A 26,863-nucleotide genomic window follows, 5' to 3' on the forward strand; every position below is an offset into this window, starting at 1 on the left:
CCTGAGGTCAGGACCCTTCCAGGCCTTGCCTGTGTGCTTCTTCATCTGTGATAATAAACCGGCAAACATAAGTAAAGTGTTTCCCTGAGTTCTGTGAGAAATACTAGCAAATTATCAAACCCAAGGAGGGGGCTCATGGAAACCCAAATTTATAGCCAGTCTGTCTGAAGCATGGGTCACAGCCTGGAATTTGTTCTTGGCATCTGAATTGGGGGCAGTCTTGTGGGAGTGAACCTTTCACCTGTGGGATCTGACGCTATCTCTAGGTAGATTATGTCAGAATTGAATTGAAATACAGGACACGAAGATGGTGTCTGCTGGAAAATTCCTTGGTGTGTGTGGGGAAAACCCTCACACATCTGGTACGAAAGTGTTCTGTGTTGTGAGAGTACAGCAAGAGAAAAAGTGTTTTTTTCACCCCAATGTATTGCAGTGTTAATTTTGTTATAAATTAGATGACTAAATATGGGTCTAACTTTATTGGTTTGTCTGTTAGGGTTGATATGTTTTGTTATTCTATTTCTACCCTATGACTTTTTTTTTTTTTTTTGAGATAGTGTCTTGCTCTGTCACCCAGCCTGGAGTGCAGTGGTGCCATTACAGTTCACCGCAGCCTCAGCCTCCCACACTCAAGCAATTCTCCCACCTCAGCCTCCTAAGTAGCTGGGACTACAGGCATGCACCAATGCACCCAGTTAGTTTTTTTGTTTTTTTTTGTAGAGACATTTCAAGAGCCATGTTTCCCAGGCTGGTCTTGAACTCCTGGGCTCAAGTGATCTACCTACCTTGGCCTCCCAAGGTGTTGGGATTGCAGATGTGAGCCACAGCATCAGGCCTGAATCTGTGACTTATTAAAGTCTAACATTATTTGGTAGTTTTACCTCCTTCCTAGGTGTAAGAGAGGAAAGAAACACAAACTGCAGCTCATCAGTAAAGACAGGTTTACTTTAGATAAAATATGAGAGGGGCTTCTAGCTGATTTTTTTTTTTTTTTTTAGTCAGGAGTGCTTTCTCTTACAGACTAAGAGTAGACATTGGTTTTAGGGTGAGGGGGCTTATCACAAGCTTGGAATGTTTCTATGTGAAGGAGAAGGGTTTTTTGTTTTGTTTTGTTTGAGACGGAGTCTAGCTCTGTCACTTTGGGCTGCAGTGCAGTGGAGTAATCTTGGCTCACTGCAACCTCCACCTCCAAGGCCCAAGCGACTCTCCTGCCTCAGCCTCTCATGTAGCTGGGATCACAGGCACCCTCCACCATGCCCAGCCAATTTCTGCATTTCTACCAGAGATGGGGTTTCACCATGTCAGCCAGGGTGGTCTCAAACTCCTGACCTCGTGATCCACCCACCTAGGCCTCTCAAAGTGCCAGGATTACAAGCATGTGTCATCGCGCCCAGTGAAGGAGAAGTTTTATGGCAGGGTTGGAATGTCTCTGGGAAGAGGGGAGTTCATCTTGGGGCAGACATCTTTCTGGTCAGAGGGGGTTATCTCGAGGCTGGCATCTTCCTGGCTGGAAGGGGGTTATCTCAGGGCTAGCATGTCTCTGGTTGGGGAGGAGTTTGGAACGTTTCTGGTTGGAGATGTTATTTGTGGTTTATGGTCATGTTGACCTTAGCCATTAGGCTGATGCCCTTTGGATTTAGGTGGTTTTTTATTAAGGTGAACTTTAGAATGAGGGGCTTGTCCAAGATGGCAATGCTCCTGCTCTGTCACCAGGAATGCAAGGAACTTGCATTCAACTAACTTCATTTATTAGCCTCCTCAACTTAGATGCAATTTTTAAAAATGTATTTTAGTTTTGTATATACTTTAAACCTCATGAGATATTGTTGTGGTGGTGGTTGTTTTAGCGGTTAAGAGTCAATTTGACTATTTGATTCATCCCTATATTTGCTTATATTGTTGCTCTTTAATCTTTCCTGTATCTCTGTGCTTTCATCTGGTATCTTTCCCCATTTGCCTGAAGAATACAAAATTTCCTTTGAATCAAATCTGCTATTAATTGATTCTTTTAAATTTATTCTTCTCTCTTTCTTTTTCTTTCTTTCTCTCTCCCTCTTTCTCTCTCCCTCTTTCTCTCTCTCCCTCTTTCTCTCTCTCCCTCTTTCTCTCTCTCCCTCTTTCTCTCTCTCCCTCTTTCTCTCTCTCCCTCTTTCTCTCTCTCCCTCTTTCTCTCTCTCCCTCTTTCTCTCTCTCCCTCTTTCTCTCTCTCCCTCTTTCTCTCTCTCCCTCTTTCTCTCTCTCCCTCTTTCTCTCTCTCCCTCTTTCTCTCTCTCCCTCTTTCTCTCTCTCCCTCTTTCTCTCTCTCCCTCTTTCTCTCTCTCCCTCTTTCTCTCTCTCCCTCTTTCTCTCTCTCCCTCTTTCTCTCTCTCCCTCTTTCTCTCTCTCCCTCTTTAAATAGAGACAGGGATCTTACTATGTTGCCCAGGATGGTCTTGAATTCCTGGTCCCAAGAAATCCTCCTGCCTCAGCCTCCCAAAGTGTTGGGGTTGCAGGTGTGAGCCATCACACCTGGCCAATTCTCTTAATTTTCATTTGTCTTTTTTTTTTTTAAGAGATGGGGTCTCACTATGTTGCCCAGACTCAATTTTGAAAATGTTTTTATTTTAAAAAAAGCTTTTTATTTCATCTTCCATCTTGAAGTGTATCTCTGCTGGGTGTAGGATTTCAGTGTTCTAATATTGTATTTTGAGCTCCATTGTTTTGTTCAGACTTTACATGTCATTCTAATTATTGCTCCTTTGAAGGAAATCTGCTTTCCTAAGATATTCATTGTGTTTGAGTTTATGATTTGTCTGGAAGTGGTTTTCTTTTTTTTTTTTTTTCATTCTGTTGGGCATTTGTAAGAATTATTGCATATGTGGCTTGATGTCTTTAATCAGTTTTGGAAAATTCTCAGGCATTATCTCTTCAAATATTGTTTCTGCACCAATTCTCTCTCCTCTCTGTGTGGGACTCCATTTACATATATGCCAGGCCTTCGCATTGTATTGCCTGCCTTCTATATTTTACTTATTTTTGACTCTCCATGCTTTATTCTGATTTTTTTTCAGATCTGTTTTTTAATGCATTTCTTCTCTCCTCAGCTTTGTCTAATCTGCTGTTAATTCCACACACTGAGTTCTTATTTGTTGGTTGTGGTGTTTTTTTATATCTAGAATTTCCATTTGGTTATTTTTTATGGTTTCCAGTTATTTGCTGAAGTTCTGGGGGAATACAAATACTTGCTCAGTGTATTCATGAGCAGGTAGACTCTTTTGCTCTGGGACTGGCTTTGGAACCACTTAAGGAGCTGCCGGAACCTATTGTAACATGGACGGTGCCCTATGAATGCTCTCTATTGATCAACAAAGAACTTCTTAGTTTATGGATGGCAGTTCGAAAGTGAACGGACAGCATTCTGCTCAAAAGGCTGCCACTCTGATTTAAAAAGTAAAAAGAAATTAACTCATCAAACTGAATTGCATACTGTTTGCCCCAGTGTTTTACTGACTCATGAGCAGTGGTCAATGTCCTGGCCTTATGGTCAGGCAGAAGAGCAATGGAAAAGTGGCCTCTTAAAGAGATGCCCATATGGGGCCCACCTCTATGGAAACCACTAGGGGGAACTTGAGGGATGCATTAAAGTAGAACATGTTGATGCCCATCTTAGTGTTTGGGTCATAATTTATAAAGGTGACTGAGTAACAGCACCTAGAGGCTAGTTTCACTGAAAGAAGATTTTTATTCACATTTCCTGAGAGGAGGGTCATGTTACACCATTCTGGACCACATAGGGAAGCACCAGTATTGATCAGGAGGCAGAAAGGAGTGAGGGGAAGGCATAGACCACAGGCAATATTGGGGTTTCCATGAGAAAGGCAAGACAGGGTAAAGTAAACAGCTTAGGATTGGCTAGTTTGAATAATTCCAGTGGGTTTTGGGGTATTTGGGATTTTCCTAGTTGTTTGGTACCTAGTTCAGTGTTGGTTTAGGATTGGGAAATATTGGCTTGGGGTGTGAGCATCAGATGAGGAGGATGATCAGCGTATGAATTCGTAAACAACTTGGCCATTAGTTTGGTCCTATAATTAATGAGTGCTAAATAGACAAATGTGGGATCTAAAAACACTCAGTGAGATGCGAAATATCAAAAGAAGTCCCTTCAGGATAAGAAGGTCATTGGTGTCAGTGAGTGGATATCTTGATATGTTCACTTGAGGTGATCACCTGGGTCATGAAACAAGTAGACATTGTGGGGTGGGGGCTGTAGCAATGCAAAGATGGGCTAAATTTAGGCATATTCCTTTTGCACCCTCTGAGGTGCAAAATGCCAGTAAGTACAGTTCTGTCTGCCAACAAGAGAGACAGACTCAGATGGCTATGGGACAGATTCCCTGGGGGGAAGGCCCAGCACATAGCTGGCAAGTGGGAGTGATGCTGGTAGCACTAGAGGCTATAAATGGGTCCTTAAAGTAATAGATGTACACGCTGGACTGGGTTTTGCATACCCAGTGGTAGATGCAAATGCTCAGATACTATAAAAGAACTGGAACAGAAGATACTACACCAATTTGGGTGGTTGAGTCACATTTATTCAGACCAAGGGACACAGTTTCAGCATGTAATGTCCAATAACGGACACAGAGATGTCCTCCTTAGAATAATAGTTTAATAGAGAATTGGAATGGGCATTTAAAACATTGGTTGGCCAAAATGGAGGGAGATATAGGCATGAAGGGCTGATTTACATGCCTTCATGAGTGTATGCTCACACCTAACATCAGAGTGCCAAGCCAGTGCCCCACTAGCTAGAATCCTCTGCTATTTTTGTGGATCTGAAGATGAGGGGGTGGGAGATATGCTGGTATAACTATGCAGTTCTTCCCACGAAAGGAATGTGCTGGTATGACTATACTTTTTTCTTTCTTCCCTATAGGATCTTAACTGCTTTTTTTATTTTTAATTTTTTAAAATAAAAATAGAGACAAGGTCTCACTATGTTGCCCAGGCTGGTCTTGAACTTCTGAGCTCAAGTGATCCGCCCACCTCAGTCTCCCAAACTGTTGGGATTATAGGCATGAGCCACCGTGCCCAGCCTCATCTCAACTTCTTTTTCCTACCTAATGCAGTGGTCCCAGGCACAGGGCTGTAACAAGTGCTGGAAGCAAAGATAATTCCTAAGCAAGAAACCATAACCATAATTTTAAACCTTTATGTCAGAATTCCTAAGGGCCTCAGGGAGCAGGTTGTATCTTGATCCCAGGTAGCAAAGCTGGGGTTAATAGTGGATGTAGCTACGTTGCTTAATGGTAGAAATAGCTGAGTTCTGTACCTTTTATAACCCTATCCTAGATGAGATGAGATGAATGACAGTGAACTGAGGAAGGCACTTGCTAGACTAGTATTGCTGCCTGCAATCTAAACCAGCACTGTAGCTAAAGCTAACCTCCCTTCCAAAGATGGAAAAGTTAGGGCATAAATAGAAGTAGGAATAGTAGCTGTGAGTAAAGGAATGGATAAATGTGTTATGCAATGAGGGAAGATTCAATATTTCATTAATACTTTGAAAGAAGCTCCAAGTAAGAGATGACGTTGTCTCTTAGCTCACTTATACAAGATGCCTGAAAGGGTGAAATCATATATTGCTGAGACCACCCCTCTTTATGGAACCATGCAAGATAAAATAGAAGCTTGCAAACCTGAGCAAACTTACCCTGGGAGACATTTGGTCATACAATATGATGACTGGACTAATCAGTAACTGAATGGGACTCTAGCAAAGTTCCAAATATCATTTTTTATTTTTCAGGTTGCATCTACCACAGTGTGATAATGATATAACACTGGTATTGTTCACAGGATTATAATACTGATGTTGATGGTCAAATGTATAAGGAAATTGAATTAAAAGCCTCCTATCCCTATCCTACACTGGTGCCTCCAAATGTTAGGCATATTCATGTTGGTACTGTGGCTGTGTAAGAGGCATTCAAACCAGAGTGACTCCATGTTGAATAGGGACTGGGTAAAATAAGGCTGAGACCGACTGGGCTGCATTCCCAGGAGGTTAGGCATTCTAAGTCACAGGATAAGATAGGAGGTTGGTACAAGGGACAGGTCACAAAGACCTTGCTGATAAAACAGGCTGTGGAAAAGAAGCCGGCTAAAACCCACCACAGACAAGGTGGCAATAAAAATGACCTCTGGTCGTTGTCACTGCTCATTTATGTGAATTATAATGCATTTGCATGCTAAAAGACACTCCCACGAGCACCATGACAGTTTACAAATGCCATGGTGACGTCAGGAACATACCTTATGTGGTTTAAAAAGGGGAGGAACCTTCGGTTCCGGAAATTGCCCACCCCTTTCCCAGTAAACTCATGAATAATCCACCCCTTTTTTAGCATATAATCAAGAAATCACCATAAAAATAGCCAATCAGCAGCCCTCAGGGCTACTATGCCTATAGAGTAGCCATTCTTTATTCTTCTACTTTAATAAACTTGCTTTCAATTTTCTCTGTGGACTGGCCTGAATTGTCTCTTGCACAAGATCCAAGAACCCTCTCTTGGGGTCTGGATCAGGACCCTTTTCTGGTAACAGTGGTATATGTTATATTAATGCTACACCAAATGTAGGTGCTCAGATAGGTTTGATGGTTTTGCTATAAGATAGCCATAACCAATGACCAGAGGGTAGCCTGTTGTATGATAAAGAATTTGTCTTTGTCCCAGGTTTCTGGCTTCTAAAACCCTGGGCATTTCCCAAGTGATCAGAGTGTCTTTGTTATTCATGGACCCCTTGGAGCACACCTGAGTTTATGCTAATGAGGTGACACGTGGTGGGCCTCTAGTTAGCTTCAGGACAGGGCCTGTCATGGTTTAAGCCATGTCATATGAGCCTGACCTCCCAACCTCCAGGAATGGAATAGAGCCTGGAGATTGAATTCGATCATGTGGCTAATGATTCAATCAATCATACCTATGTAATGAAACCCCAATAAAAACTCTGCTCACTGAGCTCTGAGGAACTTCCTGGTCAGTGAACACGTTGATGTGCCAGGAGGATGACACACTCTGACTCTGTGGGGAGAGGGCACAGAAGCTCTGTTTGGGACCCTCCCAGACCTCACTCTGTAAGTCTCTTCGTTTGGCTGATCGTGACTTGTATTCTTTATCATAAAATTGCAGCTATGACTATAGGGCTTTCCTGAGTTCTGTGAGTTGTTCTAGTGAATTGTCCAACATGAGGGGGTCATAGGAACCCCCAACTTTGTAGCCAGTTAATCAGAAGTGCAGGTGGCCCTTGAAGTGTGGCTGGCATCTGAGGTAAGGAAGGTCTTGTTGGGGAGCAACTGTGCCTTTAACCTGTAGAGTTTAAGGCTAATTCCATATTGTTAGCATCAGCATTGTACAGGTGCTTCTCAACTTACAATGGGGTTGTGTCCCAATAAACCCATTGTAAATTGAAAATATTATAAGTCAAAAATGCATTTTAAAAAATTAGCTGGGCATGGTGGTACATGCCTGTAGTCCCAGCTACTTGGGAGGCTGAGGTAGGAGAATTACTTGAGCTCAGGAGTTTAGGACTGCAGTGAGCCCTGATGGAGCCACTGGACTCTAGCCTGGGTGACAGAATGAGACCACCTCTTAAAAAAAAAAAAAAAGAGAATACATTTGACACACCTAACCTACCAAACATCATAGCTTAGTCTAGCCTACCTTAAACATGCTTGGAGCACTTACATTAGCCTACAGTTGGGCAAAATCATCCAACACAAAGCCTATTTTATAATGAGGTGTTGAATATCTCATGATATAATTTATTGAATCCTGTACTCAAAGTGAAAAATAAAATGGTTGTATGTACTCAAAGTGGGATTTCTACTGAATGTGTATTATCTTTGCACCATTGTGAAGTTGAAAAATTGTTAAGTTGAACCATAGAAGGTCAGGGACCATCTGTATTTTGGAACAATAACTGGTGTCAGAAAAGACTCCAATTATTTATCCTTAGCCCCAAAAGGCTGTCAAATACTCTGCTTAGCTTCTCAGTCTTTCTAATGCCTCTTCTAGACTCATCTGATGCCCGCTGGGGAAAGGTAACACTAAATACTGAGATTCATTCCCTAGGTTTTCTTCTGAATTTTGGTCCTATAATTTTTCACTGGCTTGTTAGCTCTTGAGTCCTTCAATCAGATGTTCTTCATATTCTGCCCAGATTTTCAAATTGTCCTTAGTAGAAAGTTTGGTCTGAGTTATCCAGTCTACTATTAATAGAAACACAAATCCCTCTTCTCAGTGACTTATTTTTCATTGTGGTTATATATACATAAAACATAAATTTTGTCATTTAAATCATTTTAAAGGCCAACATGGTGGCTCACACCTGTAATCTCAGCACTTTGGGAGGCCTAGGCAGGTAGAATGTTTGAGCCCAGAAATTCAAGGCCAGCCTAGGCAACATGATACCCTGTATCTACAAAAAATATAAAAATTAGCCAGGTATGGAGGTGTGCACCTGTAGTCCCAGCTACTCCCAACTACCTGGGAGGCTGAGGTGTGCTGTAGTGAGCTGTGATTACACTACTGCACTTCAGCCTGGGTGACAGAGTGAGCACCTGTCTCAAAAAAAAAATCATTTTAAAGTATACAGTTCGGTGGCATTTAATACATCCTCAGTGCTGTGCAACAACCACCACTCTCTATTTCCAGAACATTTTCATCACCCCAAAAGGAAACTCCATACTCATTAAGCAGTGACTTCCCATTCCCTCTCTCCTCAGCCCCTGGCAACCACTAATCTGTTTTCTGTCTTTATGGATTTGCCTATTCTGGGTATTCATATAAATGGAATCATATAGTGTATGGCCTTTTGTGTCTGGCTTCTTTCACTTAGCGTGTTTTCAAGGTCATTGATTTTTTTTTTTTTATATGTGCTGTTTTCTTTGTCTAAATATTCTACAGTTACTGTTTTGATTTCTTCTTTGACTCAAAGCATTTAGGAGATTGTTTTTACATGTTCTATTTTTATTACTTTCAGTTTTGGTGCACTGTAGTCAGAATATGACTGCTTCTGTTTCAATTTTTTGTAAATTTTCTTTGTGGCCTGTTGTACTATCAAATTTTGAAATATCTCATGGGAACTTGAGAATAAGATATAGTTTCTATATTCAGAATATAGACTTAAATACTCTTTACCTGTCCGGCAAGCTAGTTAACTAGCTATCATCTATTATCAATCTTATTAAAAATATCATTCAAAATCTCAATTATGTTTCCTCTATTTGATTCGCCATCGTCTGAGAGGTGAGTTAAAGCACCTTGTTGCAGTTGATTTCTGTGCTTAGTTGAGTATTGCATCCTGTAAATAAACCCTTATAATTTTTATATTTTTACTTTATGTATTTCAGTGCTATTAACTTATTGTAATATATATTTGCTTGCATGCAGCCTGTCATTGACAAAACTCTTGCCTACTTTTTGTTTGGATTTGCCTGGAATATGTTTACTCCTTCATTAATTTCAACCTTTGTGGGTTCTGTTGTTTTAGGTATATCTCTCATTGATAACATATCAATGCCTCCCATTTTACATTCAAAAGTGAGTTTATATCAGTTTTATTCAAGCCTATAACAGACAGGTTTAGTCTACTTCTGTCATATTTTTGTATTCTCAGCTTTGGTTTCTATGTGATCTGTTTTTGTTTGTTGCTTTCAAATATGGAACGTATTCAAGCTGTTTTTTAGTTCTACTGGTAGATATCTTTGTGATTGTAAATAATATGTTTAGGCCAGGCACAGTGGCTTATGCCTATAATTCCAGCACTTTGGGAGACCAAGGCAGGTGGATCACTTGAGTCCAGGAGTTCAAGACCAACCTGGGCAACCTAATAAGAATCCATTTCTACAAAAATTTAAAAATTATCTGGTTGTGATGGCATGTGCCTGTGGTGCCCAGCTACTCAGAAGGCTAAAGTAAGAGAACTGCTTGAGCCTGGGAGGTTGAGGCTGCAGTGAGCTATGATTGCATCACTGCACTCTAGCCTGTGTGACAGAGTTAGACCCTGTCTCCAGAAAACAAACAAATAAATAAAAATAATATATTCAATCAGTATTTCTCAATTTATAATCTTCAAAAAAGAAACAGTACCATTTATTCCCTCTTAAAAAAAAAAAAAAAAACGGAAATTGGCGATTTAAAAAAATCACCCTTGCAGCAGCCACTGTGGAAAACGGTGTGGTGATTCTTCAAGAAATTAAACATAGACCAGGCACAACAGTGCACGCCCGTAGTCCTAGCTACTCGGGAGGCTGTGGTGAGAGGATCACTTGAGCTCAGGAGTTCAAGGCTGCAGGGAGGTGTGATCGTAGCCAGGGCATTACACCTGGGTGACAGAGTGAGACCCCATCTCTAAATAAATAACTAAAATTTTAAAAAGGAGATTAAACATAGAATTATCATATGATTCAGCAATTCTACTCAAAAGAAGTGAAAGCAGGGACTTATGTATTTGCACACCCATGTTCATAGCAGCATTATTTACAACAGTCGAAAGATGGAAGCAACCCAAGTGCCCATTAACAGATGAGTGGATTAACAAATGCTGTGTGTGTGTGTGTGTGTGTGTGTATATATATATATATATATATATATATATATATATATATATGAAATGAAATACTCAGCCTTAAAAGAGGAGGAAATTCCCATAAATGCTACAACATGAATGAACCTTGAGGACGTTATGCTAAGTGAAATAAGACACACACACACACACACACACACATACACACACACACACACACTGTATGATTCCCCTTATTTGAGATATCTAGAATAGTCAAAAATCATAGAGACAAAAAGTAGAATGGTTGTTGCCAGGGGTTAAGGAAAGAGAATGGGGAGTTAGTGTTTAGTGGGTATAGAGTTTCAGTTTGGGAAGATAAAAGTTCTGGAGATAAATGGTGGTGATCATTGTGCAGCAGTGTGAATGTACTTAACACCACAGAACTGGTCAATTTGGCCAGGCATGTTGGCTCACACCTGTAACCCCAGCACTTTGGGAGGCCATAGTAGGAGGATTGCTTGAATCTAGGAGTTTGAGACCAGCCTGAGCAACATAGAAAGACCCAATCTCTACAAAAAATTTAAAAATTAGCTGGGCATAGTGGTGAACATCTGTAGTCCCAGCTACTTGGGAGGCTGAGGTGGGAGGATTGCTCAAGTCTGAGAGGTTGAGGCTGCAGTGAGCCGTGATTGCATCACTGCATTCCAGTCTAGGTGACAGAGCAAGACCCTATCTCCAAAAAAGAGTAAATCTGATGTTATATATATTTTGCTACCATAAAAACAAACAAGCAAACACCAATCTCCTTTTCCTTCCATTCCTTCTTTAATTATAGTTTTAGGAATTTCCCCCATATGTTCTATTATCAACAACAGCAATGATTAACAAAGAAACATTTTGTAGAGTGTTTTTTTTCCCACAATAACTATAACGATTATATTATTTTCCAGTAAATGTGATCATTACGGTTATATAGGCTTTCATGTTCAAACACATTTAATGCTTACCACCAGCCTGTTTATACCTCAGTTTTCTCCTATGTCAGTTCTAAATTTGGATTCATCATCTGTCTCTAACATGTCCTCAAGTAGAGTGATATATTTCCTGGTGAAATAATGATGAGAAGCTATGTCTTACGTAATGTCTTTAGAGGAAGACCTTCAGGTCTCAGTGGTAACAGCTCCTCCCCTGTGGCTGCAGGCTATGGGATTGTAGCACCATCCTCTTGGTTTCCCTTAACTCTTGCCTATACCTCGTCAATAATCCCTTTACTAAACTCTCTTCCATTACCAAGCTTGTGAGTGGCTTGTTTCCAGCTGGGACTATGACTGATACAGCCTCTGCCGCCTCTGCTCTCCAAGCACCCCTTCCTTCCTATCTCCTCTCCCTCTCTTTCTTTTCCTTTTTCCATCTTCCACTCTTATCCCTCCTTATTCTTTTCCTCCTCCTCCCTTTTGGAGTGAGGTGACATGTGGGCTATGTAGGTTAGCATATCACGCTCCGCATCTGGCCCCTGGCTGCCCTTGTCCCTGGGTGGTCAAGAACAGAGTATTCCTTCTTTCTGAGCTGCTCAGTGTTCTGGCTGCTTTTCAGAATGTGCAGCCCATCCCCCAGCCTCTCAGAAGCCCCACCCCAGCCAGCAGCCTGACAGAGCTCACAATTCTGTTTTAAGCTTACTCCCTTACAACTAGTTTTATTTCCTAGTCTGACATCTTGGGAGGATGGGTGAGACCAAATCTGTTACATCAGTGTCTAGATGGAGCATTCGCTAGTTCAGGCCAAGACATTATGAGTTTCATTTTTATGGCTCTCCCAATCCTTGTGTGTGCAGATTTTATTGTGTTAGGAGTTAAAAATGTAATAAGCAAGGAGAAAAAAAAAATTAAGTCACTTCAGCTAAAGACTACAGCCTAACAAAATCCTTAACAGACGCTTGTTAGTCCTGTTGCTGGGAAGTATTTGTCCAGCAGACCTGGAACAGTTTAAAAAAGGAGTGGGGGTTTGGTTAACATTAAAGAAACACAAAGATTTTTCATCTGGCTCTGGGGGAGACCAGAGCCACAGAGGGAACAAGAAAAGAAAGAGGGGATTGAACATTTTTGCAAACAAATGATAAAACTGCCTTTTAAAGAAGGAGGGGGGATCCCTTGTCCAAACAAGACTTCTGCCAGGGTAGGAAATCATTTCTGCAATTGTTTACAATGCTCAGGCAGCCGGTCCTAAGTCAACATGGCCTGGGAGCGTTGCCCTGGAGCCTCCTGCCTTTGCCAGCCGCCTGCCATCTCGAGCTCAGCTATTTCTGGGACTTAGCTCCCTCCCTTGAAAAACAAACCGTGGCCCTCACTGTCATACCCAATAAACCCCCCAGTTTGTGCAGCCTTAATCATGTTTTCCAGAAGAGTTCTCCAACTGACGGCCTGGATGCAATGTGTTGGGCTCAGGAGAGCCAGTATGTGTGGGGGAAGGGAAGCTCTCATTTGTGGATGCCAAGATGGAAATTTCCATTGCAGTACAAGATGGCTTCACCTGTGGCCAAGGAAACCTACTTCATCTCAAAGAGGAGAACTTGGCTAATGAACAGCCTGAAATTTATGTCCTTTCTTACAGTTTGTTCCATAAACCCAGAGCAAAGTTTGCTTTTACTAAAAAGCACCATAATTACTAGTCATAACCCTTCACATCTGGTTGTCACTTAGTGTAGAAGTCTTTTCACTTCTGTTATCTCATTTGTTCTCCACCATGAGAAAGGCATTATTAGTCCCATTTATTTACCTTTTTTGAAAAAAAAAAAAAAAAAAAAAAAAGATGAGATCTCACTATGTTTCTCAGGCTGGTCTTGAGCTCCTAAGCTCAAGTGATCCTCCTGTCTTGGCCTCTCAAAGTGCTAGGATTACAGGTGTGGACCACTGTACCCAGTCAATCCCATTTATTTAATTAATCCATCTATTTGTCTCCTTATTTGGTGTTAATAATACAGTCATGTGGCTTGAAAATTTTAAATTCCAGTGAAAAGATGTCTTCTCTTCTACTCTTCCACAATTCTTCTGGTCTCTATCTGCCCACAGGTAACCACTACTGTTCATTTTTCTGTGTATCTCTCCAGAGATGCTTTATGTATATCTAAGCAACTTGGGGTGGTACAAGGAGAAAGAGTATTGCAGAGAGACAGAAAAGTCCCAGGCACTAGGCCTAGCTCTGTCTCCAGTTGGCTGTTTGACATTGTGCATGCTACTTTCCCTCTCTGAACCTCACTTACCTCACTTACGTCATCTGTGAAAATGAGAATAAAAGCTAACATTCATTAGGCTTATATGTGCCTGCCACTGTGATAAGTGTTTTTATATGTGTTAGTTGAATTAAGCTCGCTACAGTCCTATAAGGAGGCACTGTAAGTCCCATTTATCCATGACAAACTGAGGCACAGAGAAATTAAATATCTTGCCCAGGTCCTAGTTAATTAGAGGGAGAGCCTGGGTTTTATGAAGCTAGGTAGTCTAACAGTAGAGCTCATTCACCACTTAAACCCCTGCGCTATATACGGCCACTCATTTATGATACTGGCACTACCAAATGATGGCTTGAAACAGGAGGCTGCCCCAGAGTGGTTCCTCCCAATTTAGGTATCTAAAATCCTATGTCCAGTTCCCATAAAACCCTGGCCAGGCAGCTCTGAGTCACTCAGCCCCATTCAGATGGGATGGTGACAGCTGGCAAAGAGCAGCAGACAGCAGGGCAAGGCTCAGGCATGAACCCTGATGTCAGACCAGTGCTTCCCCCTGTGTCCCTCCAGGGGAATCAGGACAACTCCTTAATAAGAATTTCTTATTTTTTATCAGAGGTAGTAACGCACGTAATTTAAAAAGCCAACTCATATTCAGAGACAAAAGACAGCAGCCCAGAACAAACACTTTTAACTCCTTTGGTTAGTTCTGTATATATTTATCTCCCTTATTCTTGTCAACCTTAAATAATATTCAGAAAGTATGATTAAATATAGAGTTCATTTGAGCCCAAAGCTTGAGGATGGCCACCCAGGAACATGGATTCAAGTTGCCCTGAATATACATTCTAATTAGCAGCACCTACAAATGGGTTTTTAAAGGGAAAAAAAGAAGAGGCAGTTCCTAAGTTGTTTAACAAGAATTTACATTAAAGTAACATAAGCTATTAATTGGTTATACATTGTTCTTTGTATCACAAATTCTAGGAACATGAAGATAATGGGTGAGGCCAGCTAGTCAGGAACAAAATGCCTTTAAACAATTGCCCCCAGGGCATGGGCGGGATGCAGAGGTGGGGGTGAGGGATGAGAGTAGGGGCCTGACTGAAGTCCCAGGTCTCTCTGAGCCAAGTAAATTTTGCATACCTCTCATAGCTTACAGCAGTCTGAGCTATTTTTCTTTTTTCATTCTAAACCTAGATAGTAAATATTTTCAGCTTTGTGAGCCATACAATCTTTGTTGCAATTTCTCAACTGCCTTATATCTAGAAAGCAGTCAGGCAATATATACATAAATGGACATGGCCATCTTCCAATACAACCTTATTTACAAAAACAGATTTTTAAAGCAAAAACAGATTTGACCTGTTGATGCGGGATTTTTCTCGGTCACTTTGCCAGCCAGAGACCTCCAGCCAGCAATACCCCTGGCCCAGGCCTTGCTCGGGCCTGGGTTCACCACAGGAGAGGCCCCATCTACTGCTGGGCTATGCCTGGCTTGCACTCCAGTGTGGGTGCTGTGTCTGCTGTGACTGTGCTGGCAGGAGGGGATGTGTGAGCCAGTGACAGCAGGGTCCAGCCAGCTGTTCTAAGAGCCGGCACAGGAGTGGGATCCATGCAGGGCTTGTGGCTGAACCAGGTGTGTCACAAGCGACTCCTGTGGTAGACTCTGGTGTCCAGACGAGGGGAATGTGGTGGCACCCAAGCAGCGGTGCCCTGGACCCTGAAGCCCAGAGGGTGTGTTACAGTGTGCTAATTAGCTCTTTTAGTCCCATTTTCCGTGGCCCAATGGATGGCAGTGTGTTAACAGCTCTGTCAGCCCCGTTGACCCGCTCCAGCCCGTGGCTCGGCCTTGCTGCTGCTTCCTATTGTTTAGGGCAGCTGCCTTCTGCTGGCAGAGGGCAGAAGGCCACAGTGTTACAGCCTTCTTTGTACCTGCATTCAGTGGGTCCTGAGTTCTTGTTTCACATCCAAGAATAATGAGGTTATGCTGACAAAGGGTGAGGAGGGCAGAGAAGAATTTTATTGAGCAATGAAAACAGCTCTCAGCAGAGCAGGGACACAAGGTTGGTCCCCCACTTGAAATCAGGTGGTCTTTCAATCAATGTGGCTGGGTCTGAGGCTTTTATGGGCCCAGAATGGGAGAGTGCATGCTGATTGGTTTGTGAGTACGCAAGAAAGCCTAAAACGAAGGTACCACTCAAAGGTGGGCATGACGGTGTAAAATCCCAATTGAGGAAGGGTAGATACATGTAAAATAGGTGAAGGGTAGGGATCAATCAGGGGAAAGCACACCAAATGGGAAGAGAGGTTCTCAATCTGGTCCAAGGATTTACCCAGGACTTGTAGCTAGGGTTCAAACAGTCTTTGGCTTGAAGGTCAGGTTTCACTGGGGACCCACCTCTGTCTGACTAGGATTTGTCTGCTTCCTGTTGCTAATCACTGTGGGATGTAGTTTACTGATATCTGTTGTAAATTCTTAAATTTCTGTTTCTTAATTTATAAATTTTAATTAATTTTCTATTGTGGTCAATAAAAATTTCTTTTTCTTCATTTCTATTTTTATTTTTTGAGACAGGGTCTCACTCTGTCACCCAGCTGGGTGACAATCATTACTGACTGCCTGGAGTGCAGTGGCACAATAATGGCTCACTGTGGCTTCAACATCCTGGGCTCAGGTGATCCTCCTACCTCAGCCTCCCGAGTAGCTGGGACTACAGGTGTGCACCACCACGCCTGGCTAATTTTTTGTATTTGTTTTTGTAGAGATAGGGTTTCACCATATTTCCCAGGCTGATCTCAAACTCTTGGGCTCAAGCAATTCTCCTGCCTCTATCTCCTGAAGTGCTAGAATTATAGGCATGAGCCATTGTGCCTGGCCCCCAAGAATTTACCTTTCTTAAACAGCTCTCCTCTCTGCAGTTGTTTACCCTCCCAACTCATCCTAATAGAGTTATATTGTAATTATCAGTTACATTAATATTCAATGTTTATATTATGACTAGGTAAATACTGTTCTCTGTTGAGCCAAACAATATACCATCTCCTTTCTCATACGGCCTTTGTTTTTACCTGGAGTTAACTATTTCATTCTTTTTTTTTTTTTTTCATTTGCATGGTGTATTTGACTTTCAACAGCCTCTCTCAGAATTTTCTACATGGTTTAACACCTCTTTTTTCCAGTGCTACTGTTTTGCTGGAGGAGGCCCTCCTACAGCCTTCCAGACTGCCACTCCAGTGTAGACTGGGATTCCCTGGGCCTGGGCTTATCTCTTATCCTAAAACTTTCTTTCTCCACTATCCTGGAAATCTACTGGATCTCTTCTCTATATTGGATCTCTTTTTCCTAGATCCCATGTCCTCCTCTGATTTACTTCCTCATTTTCCTTAATCCACTATCATTTTTTTTTTTTTTTTTATGGAGTCACACTCTGTCACCCAGGCTGGAGTGCAATGGCACGATCTCTGCTCATTGCAACCTCTGCCTCCTGGGTTCAAGTGATTCTCCTGCCTCAGCCTCCCAAGTAGCTGGGATTACAGGCATCTGCCACCACGCCCGGCTAACTTTTTGTATTTTTAGTAGAGATGGGGCTTCACCATGTTGGCCAGGCTGGTCTTAAACTCCTGACCTCAGGTGATCCACTTGCCTTGACCTCCCAAAGTGCTGGGATTAAAGGTGTGAACCACCGCACCCAGCCCACTATCACTCTTGAATGATAGTTTTGGAAGGGCTAGTATTCTAGACAGGAAATAATTTTTTCCCCAATATTTTGAAGCATATAAGTTGTTAGAAGTCTGATATGTTTTAAATTCTTAATCCTTTATATGCAATCTGTTTTTCTTCTCTAGAAGTTTTTATAATCTTCTCTTTATTCCTAATGTTCTGAAATTTCAGCATGATGTTGTCAGAGGCATTTGAACCAGAGCAACTCCATCTTGAATAGGGCTTGGGTAAAAGAAGTCTGAGACATATTGGGCTGCATTCCCAGGAGGTTAGGCATTCTAAGTCACAGGATGAGATAGGAGTTCGGCACAAGATACAGGTCATAAAGATCTTGCTGATAAAACAGGTTGTGTAAAGAAGTCGGCCAAAACCCACTGATACCAAGATGGCAATAAAAATGACCTCTTTTTTTTTAAGCCTCATATTCATTTTCTGTATTACCTTGTGCCTCTAGTTACTGAGCCTTTTTGAGTTTCTGCAGGGTAAGTTGACTTGCTTCACATGGTATCACCCATGCACAGTCTATTAAGAGTCAGCCGCTTCTAGTCTGATAAGACACCCTGGATGTCTATCGACTTTTCATCCTCCTAGCGCATGTTGACGACTCTTTCCCCCATTGTTTCCATTCTTGTCCTCTTTGTCCTTGTGAACTTAGTTTGTTCCTATTGCAGTGCCCCCAATTGGTCTTTGTTTCTATCCTTGTTCAATCTTTGTCCTTTTACAGTGTATTTTCCACAGAGAAGCAAAGGGGTCTTTAAAAATGTAAGTCACAAATTCAGAACATTTGTGGACATTCCATAGGACAACTGCACTAACCTCTTTAATAGTCAACAGCATGAAAACACAAGGCAAAGGGATAGGTAGGGACTCTCCTACTACATTAAAAAATATTTAGGAGGCAGGCCAGGTGTGGTGGCTTACACCTGCAATCCCAGCACTTTAGGGGGCCAAGGTGGGTGGATCACAAGGTCAGGAGATTGAGACCATCCTGTCTAACACTGTGAAACCCTGTCTCTACTAAAAATACAAAAATTAGCTCAGCCTGGTGGCATGCGCCCGTAGTCCTGAACCCGAGAGGCGGAGGTTGCAGTGAGCCGAGATCATGCCACTGCACTCCAGCCTGGGCAACAGAGTGAGACTGTCAAAAAAAAAAAAAAAAAAAAAACTAGGAGGCATATCAAAAGTTGTAATGTGTGGTCACGATATAAGCAAACCAATTGTAAAAAGACATTTGTGGACTATTGGGGAAATCTGAGTAAAGAAATTTAAAAATTATTAATTTTGTTAGGTGCAATAATAGCATTACGGTTATGTAGGAAATGTATTTTCTAGAGATTCATATTGAATTATAAAATATGATGTCTGAAAATTTGCTTTCAAAAGCTCAGCAAAAAGATGAAGCAAACATAACAAAATATTTATTTATTTATTTATTTTATTTTATTTTTTTGAGACAGAGTCTTGCTCTGTCACCCAGGCTGGAGTGCAGTGGCGTGGTCTCGGCTTACTGCAAGCTCCACCTGCCAGGTTCACGTAATTCTCCTGCCTCAGCCTCCTGTGTAGCTGGGACCTACAGGTGCCTGCCACCGTGCCCAGCTAATTTTTTTTGTATTTTTAGTGGAGACGGGGTTTTACCACGTTAGTCAGGATGGTCTCAATCTCCTGACATGGGGATCCGCCCACCTCGGCCTCCCAAAGTGCTGGGATTACAGGCGTAAGCCACTGCACCCGGCCTTTTTTTTTGTTTTTTAAAGACAGGACCTCATTCTCTTGCCCAGGTTGGAATGCAGTGGTGAGGTCATAGCTCACTGCAGCCTTAACCTCCCAGGCTTAGGAGATCCTCCCACCTCAGCCTCCCAAGTACCTGGGATTATAGGCATACACCACCATGGCTGGCTAATTCTTAAATTTTTTTGTAGATATGAGGTCTCCTTATGTTGCCCGGGCTGGTCTTTGTAGATATGAGGTCTCCTTATGTTGCCCAGGCTGGTCTTTGTAGATATGAGGTCTCCTTATGTTGCCCAGGCTGGTCCCCTGGGTTTCAGTGATCTGCCCATGTCAGTCTCCCAAAGTGCCTGGGTTACAGGCATGAGCCACCACACCTGGCCTCTTTATGGCACTTATTATCACTGGCTTTTACATTTTTGTGGTTAAATATATTTATCTTTTTAACCTTTTTTTTTTTTTTTCCTGAGATGGAGTCTCGCTCTGTCGCCCAGGCTGGAGTGCAGTGGTGCAATCTTGGCTCACTGTAACCTCTGCCTCCCAGGTTCAAGCAATTCTCCTGCCTCAGCCTCCTGAGTAGCTAGGATCACAGGTGTGTACCACCAGGCCCGGCTAATTTTTGTATTTTTTATAGAGACAGGGTTTCACCATGTTGGTCAGGCTGGTCTCAAACTCCTGACCTTGTGATCTGCCCACCTCGGCCTCCAAAAGTGCTGTTTAACCATTTTTAACTACACATTTAATTGGCACTAAGTGCATTTACATTGTTGTGCAACCACCACTATTATCTATTTCCAGAACTTTTTTGATCATCCCCTACTGAAACTCTGTACTCAATAAACAATAACAATATGTTCCTCTCCCCAGCCCCTGGCAACTATCATTCCACTTTTTGCTTCCATGTATTTGACTACTCTCAGTACCTCATATAAGTAGAATCATGTAATAGTTGTCCCTTTGTCTCTGGTTTATTTCACTTAGCATAATGAATGTCTTCAAGCTTCATCCATGTTGTAGCTGCATATCACCTGCCATTTTATACATTTGTTTGGTCATTCGCTTTTTATCGTCTGCTCTCCCGACTACCCAAAAGGTAAGGTCGTTGGGGGCAAGAGCTTTGTCTGTTTTGCTTGTTCATCTAGAACAGTGCCTGGGCACAGAATAAGTACTCAAATATTTGTTGAGTAATTTGCCTCCTGTTGGGACAATCTCCTTTTTTTGCATAGAGTTGGCCTTCTTTTCTGAACACGATGTGTCCATTTAGAAAGTAATTTTTAGCTCCCGCTGTGCAAAACACTTTGGGGGACAGGAAGATAAGGCAGCGAAGCGAGTTAGAGTGGTGCAGCTGACGGGGTTAGAGTGGTGGAGTAGACATCTGTTTTCATTGTTTTGTTTTGTTTTCCCTGCCCAACATTTACTCCCCTTCTTCTGATATTAGCAGTGGGATTTTCCTTTGGGATATCTCCCTTCCCCATTCTCAGTCTGTGTGGTTATAAAGGATCCATCTCATCCTCTGGCTTCAAGGCAAGATAAGTAACCCAGGCCTGCCAATAAGACCCAGGCATGAGACTTCTGTTGCAATCATTACACTGAGCCTACAAAACTGGGAGAATGTGAGCCTGGAGTTCTGATGCCTCACTACGTTGAAATCTTATATTTGAGAATGAAGACAACACAGAAGAAAATAGAGTTCAGAGATGGACAAAAGGGAATAAAGCCCTGATCACATTATTTGAGCTCCTGAAACCAGCCATGCCCGAAGTCAGAGATCCATTTCCTGGACTTTTCAGCTTTGTGAGCCAATAACTTCTCAACGTCTTCCCATTTATTTGTTTATTTCATCTTATTTTGATTTGAATTGGACTTCTGTCGCCTGCTGCCAAAATATTCCTAATATAAGGGAGACAGACAAAAAGGAAAGAAGGTAGAGAGACTCAACTTGTGGGGTTTGGAGGCTCAGCTGTTATCTAGGAAAAGCATAAAGGATTTAAGATGTTTACCTCAAAGAAGAGAAGCCTCTGGAAGACAGGGCTACATCTTTAGATATGTAAAGAGCTGTCATATGGGAGAAGAATTAAATTTGCTCTAGATAATGCAGCAGGAAATACCAGGACCAGCAGCTAAATATTTTTAGGAAAAAAAGTTAATTCAGGAGGGAGGAAAATGTAGAGGCCCCAGAAGCAGCCTAGAGGTACTGTAGTGAAGTGGAAGTGAATGAGCCCAAGGTGGGGAGACACAAATGGTATACACTGGTGAGAAAAAGGGTAGCCCTGCATGGGGCCTCATTGTAGATAACCCTTAAGGTCCCTGTCTTGGGAACTCCCCACTTGTGCTGACTGATGTAAGCAGAGATTGAGTTTGTCACCTGAAGGCATTAGACACATGGCCCCTCCTCCTCAACCCTGGGCCTCCTACTCATGCCAGAAGCTAACTACAAGGTTGCTCAAAAACACAGTTGATAGGGGCTGACCATTATGTTAACCCATGGAGTATAAGATATGTTAGTCTGTTCTTGTGCTGCTATAAAGGAATACCTGAGGCTCGGTAAATTATAAAGAAAAGAGGTTTATTTTGGCTCATGTTTCTGCAGGCTGTACAGGAAGTGTGGTGCCAGCATCTGCTTCTGGTGAGAGTTTCAGGAGGCTTACAATCATGGTGGAAGGTGAAGGGAGAGCAGGCTTGTCACAGGGTGAGAGAGAGAGAAGGAGGTGCCAGGTTCCTTTTAAACTATCAGAGATCAAGGTAACAGAGTGAGAACTCACTCATTACCATGGGGAGGGCACCAAGACATTCCTGAGGGGTCCACCCCCATGACCAAAGCAGCTCCCACTAGGCCCCCCTCCAACATTGGGGATTACATTTCAACTTGAGTTTTGGAGGGGACAAATATCCAAACTATATCATGGGAGAAGTGGGCTTTCTCAAGGAATTTGAAAAAAATTTTTCTTGTCAGCCTCTTCTGTAAAAGAATATCCAGCACCAAAGCATGTGCTGTGGTTTTGTTAAAAATTGTTTTGTAATTTGAAGAGTCTGGGTCACAGCCCCAGAGAGCTTCTGGATGGCAACTGCATCACAGTCCTGAAATAAAAGATGCTGTCAATATGCTGCCATCCAGTGCCCACGCCACCCTTTCCCGTGGCAATGTAGGAAGTCTACAAAGACTTCCTCGCCTGCCTCCCGTTCCGGGCCTTCCCTCTTCACCCACCGGATATCTTTTCCTTTCTTGCCTTTTCCTGTCCCCAGATCTTGCTCTTGGACCAGTGCCTAATTTTCAGAAGGTATTTCCAGATAAGAAAAGCTACAGTGACAAAGAAAACGCATCAGTCTAGGATCACTGTGGTGGCACAGGGAGAGTTTGGGCTTTGGGATCAGAAATGAGTTTTTTTACTTTTTAAAAATTATTTATTTTTTAAAAGCTTTTTTTTGGTTTGTTTTTAAATGAGATGTAGATATGCCTTAGAAGTCAACCAAGTTTAAGTTCTGACTCTACCTTACATGGAAAACTCAATTTTCCTGGGTTTCAATCCCCTCATGTATAAAGGAAGGATAATGATACTTTATTTTGGGGAGTCTCGCTCTGTCACCCAGGCTGGATTGCAGTGGTGCAATCTTGGCTCACTGCAACCCCTGCCTTCCAGGTTCAAGCGATTCTGGTGTCTCAGCCTCCTGAGTAGCTAGGATTACAGACGCGCATCACCATGTCTGGCTAAATTTTTTTTTTTTTTGTATTTTTAGTAGAGATGGGGTTTCACCATGTTGGCCAAGCTGGTCTCGAACTCCTGACCTCAAGTGATCTGCCTGCCTCAGCCTCCCAAAGTGCTGGTATTACAGGTGTGAGCCACCACGCCTGGTCCAATACTTTCTTAATAGGGTATTTTGAGAATTAAAGATGTTTCTGTTAGGTGCTTAGTACAGAGAATGGATAGTAATTGAAAAATGACAAATATTTAAATAATGATTGCTAAAAGACCAAAGGACCTTCAAAACAACCAAAGAATTTAAATGGTTGGTTTAAGTGGTTGGACCCTTAAATGGTTTTTAAGTACAAGGAGAGATTAGTGAGAGAGGTGTGTTTTTTTGTTGTTGTTTGTTTTTTGAGACGGAGTCTTGCTCTGTTGCCCAGGCTGGAGTACAGTGGCGTGATCTCAGCTCACTGCAACCTCCGCCTCCCGGGTTCAAGCAATTCTCCTGCCTCAGCCTCCCGAGTAGCTGGGACTAGAGGTGTGTGCCACCATGGCCGGCTAATTTTTGTATGTTTAGTAGAGGTGGGGTTTCACCATGTTGGTCAGGCTGGTCTCAAACTCCTGACCTCGTGATCCGCCTGCCTCGGCCTCCCAAAGTGCTGGGATTATAGGCATGAGCCACCGTGCCCGGCGAGAGGTGTTTTCTTAAGAGGAGGTCAAAGAGAGTATGAGGAATGCTTGGAGATTGTCAAGGCTTTGTGCCGGAGGTTCCGCTACTACCTACAACAGTCCATCTCCCTTCTTTCCTGGGCTTATAGCCAAGATTATATTTTCCAGCTCCCCTTTCAGTTAAGGGTGGCCATATGACCACATTCTCTCCAGTGAAGTGTAAGTGATGTAATGACATGTGGCATTTAAGGGGCTAGGGCTTAACATTCTCCTCCTCTTTTTCCTTCCCATTAGCAGCAACCCAGATATGGCTGCTAACCCGGCGTCAACCATGCAGTTGAGAACTGGGCTCTTGGAATGGCAGAACAATAACTTGGAAAGAGCCTGGGTCTTGAGGGACTATGGGCTGCAGAGCTGCCAGCCTTCAAGGACTATACTGTGTAGGAAAAATAAATTCCTTTGCTCCCTAAGCCATGGTTTAGTTGGATCTCTTTGTTATAGCAGATGAGCCTTATCCTAAATGATATGTCAGATATGGACCATCTTGGTATAGGGCATCCATTTCTCAAACTTGGGTTCCTTTTAATAAACAATAGGCAGTTGAGGTAGACTAGGAAAAGCCCTGGACTCAAAGTGAAGAAATTTGGCTGCTCAGTGAAAATAATTAACATTTTGTGCTTTGCATCATAGTTGACCAAGATTTCCTCTGAGAGACCTAGCTTCTTTTTTTTTTTTTTTTTTTTGAGATAGAGTCTCTCTGTCACCCAGGCTGGAATGCAGTGGTGTGATCTTGGCCCACTGCAACCTCCACTTTCCGGGCTCAAGCCATTCTCCTGCCTCAGCCTCCTGAGAAGCTGGGACTACATGTGTATGCCACCATGCCTGGCTAATTTTTGTATTTTTAGTAGAGACAGGGTTTTGCCGTGTTGACCGGGCTGGTCTCAAACTCCTAACCTCAAGTAAACCACCTACCTCAGCCTCCCAAAATGCTGGGATTACAGTTGTAATTTCTTTATAAAATAGCAACCACAGAGGTATGAGGAGTGTAAGTGAAACTTTTAAGTTGTCAAGTGTCATGCAAACATGCGGGCCTCTCAGCATCTGGGGCATTGGAGGGCACTAGACGTGTTCTGTCTCAGCTGAGAGGCAAGGTGGGGTCCTCTGAAGGAGGGGCCAGAGAGCAAAAGTGGGCACAGTCTGCTGCCTCGTCTCCTGGACAGATTGACATGCAAGAGGCCCACGGTGGAATATACTCCTAGCCAACTAATTGTAAAAATATGCAGAATTATAGATACAGAGAGAGCCTATATAATACCCCACATGACTAAGAGCAATCTCTGCAGAGGAGCACTGCATTAAAATAACAGCCGCGGCAGGCATGAGGCCGCCTTCAGAGATAAGTGCTGGAGTTTGGCTCTAAATGCCAACATCCTTAGCTAATCTAAGTAATGCATGAGCAGGAAGAATTCCGTGGCTGGGAGCCCAAGTGGAGTTGTTTAAAGAACTCTTAAGAACAGCTAGTAACCTCCAAGCAGTAGGCCCAAGTGCATGATGGGGAATTTAACATTTAATAGAATCTGAGGGGTGAGGGGCTGCCGAGAGGGCTGGGGGTGGGGACTTGGATCTCAATGAGAGGCACGCTGTTAAGGGGCTTCTGGCAGCGCCTCCACCATGCCATAGTTGGTTTCTGTCTCTGGTTCATTTGTTTTGTGCAAGATCAACTCGAATCAGGAATCCCAGGTTAGAAAGTCCACCATCCTCTCATTAAAGAGGCCAGGAAGGGCTTGACCAGAAAGTTAGGGGAAAAGATGTCACTCCTGTTGAGAAGGGAGGCAGCCTCCTACCTCTGACATTATGGCTCTATGATTTTTGGAACTGGAATATTCACCTAGAGATTGTCTCATATATTCTCCACCTCCCCACCCCCATCGCCAACTCTCATGTTATAGTTGGGGAAACTGAGGCCCAGCACAGGGGAGCAAAGCTCCCAAAAACACGCAGTGAGTCGGGGGCTGTGGAGATCACCTCCTCCAATCAGAACCACTGCCTACTTCCCACCCACCCCATTATTTCACAAATGCAGATAAGGAGGTGCAGAGGGAGAAAGTGACAATGTCAAGGTTTCATTCATTTCAGGGCAGAAGGGTGAGTGGCAGCTAGGCTACCTGGTTCAAAACCGTAAGATTTTGACCACCACGTTTCAGCATCTTATCAGCTGAGAGTGATGACTAGCAAAGGCCTCTCTCCTGGTCTGGCTCACCAGGACTTTCTGCAGCTGTTGCACTGGGATGGGCTTCCAAGCTCACCCCCGAGGTTGCTGGCAGAATTCAGGTCCTGGGGAGCTGTTGGACTGAGCAGGCTCCTCTCAGGTCCTTGCCTCATGGGCGTCTCCTACACGCTGATGGGGAAACAGAGCATGCAAGCCAAGTTGGATGTCCCTGGCTTTTATAATCTCTTCTCAGAAGAGACAGCCTATCACTTTTTTATTCTTTTTTGAGGCGAGGTCTCACTCTGTCACTCAGGTTGGAGTGCAGAGGTGCTATCACAGCTCACTGCAAACTCCACCTCTTGGGTTCAAGTGATCCTCCTGCCTCAGACCCCAAGTAGCTGGGTAGGTGAGACCACAGGTACATACCACTACACCTGGCTAATTGTTGTATTTTTTGTAGAGATGGTGTTTCTCCATGTTGCCCAGGCTGGTCTTGAACTCCTGGGATCAAGCGATCTGCCCTCCTCAGCCTCCCAAAGTGCTGTGATTACAGGCATGAGCCATTGCTCCCCACCCACTTTTGTTGTATTCTAGTTCTCAAAAGTCATTAGGTCCAGGTCCCCTACGCCATACACCTAACCATCACACAGATGTGCACGCACACATACACACACACATGGAGAGGTCTACACAGGGCATGAATACTAGGAGGTGGAGGTCACCAGGTGCTTTTCAGAAGCTGTTGACCGTAATTCTCTAGCAGTACATAAAAAGCATCCTGGTCTTGGCCGGGTGTGGTGGCACAGCCTGTAATCCCAGCACTTTGGGAGGCCGAGGCGGGTGGATCACAAGGACAGGAGATCAAGACCATCCCGGCTAACACGGTGAAACCCCGTCTCTACTAAAAATACAAAAATTAGCCAGGCCTGGTGGCGGGTGCCTGTAGTCCCAGCTACTTGGGAGGCTGAGGCAGGAGAATGGTGTGAACCCGGGAGGCGGAGTTTGCAGTGAGCCGAGATTGCGCCACTGCACTCCAGCCTGGGCGACAGAGCGAGACTCCGTCTCAAAAAAAAAAAAGCATC

General features: G+C 43.1%; 1 annotated feature.

Moving 5' to 3' along the window:
- Positions 15,439-16,025: an enhancer, noted in NCBI's record as "H3K27ac-H3K4me1 hESC enhancer chr15:68210766-68211352 (GRCh37/hg19 assembly coordinates)". NCBI's record gives its function as "activates a minimal SCP1, AML or CMV promoter by ChIP-STARR-seq in naive H9 embryonic stem cells {active_cell/tissue: H9 hESC(naive)}" and the evidence as "EXISTENCE:reporter gene assay evidence [ECO:0000049][PMID:30033119]".

Source organism: Homo sapiens, chromosome 15 (genome assembly GCF_000001405.40).
Source record: "Homo sapiens chromosome 15, GRCh38.p14 Primary Assembly".
NCBI lineage: Eukaryota > Metazoa > Chordata > Mammalia > Primates > Hominidae > Homo > Homo sapiens.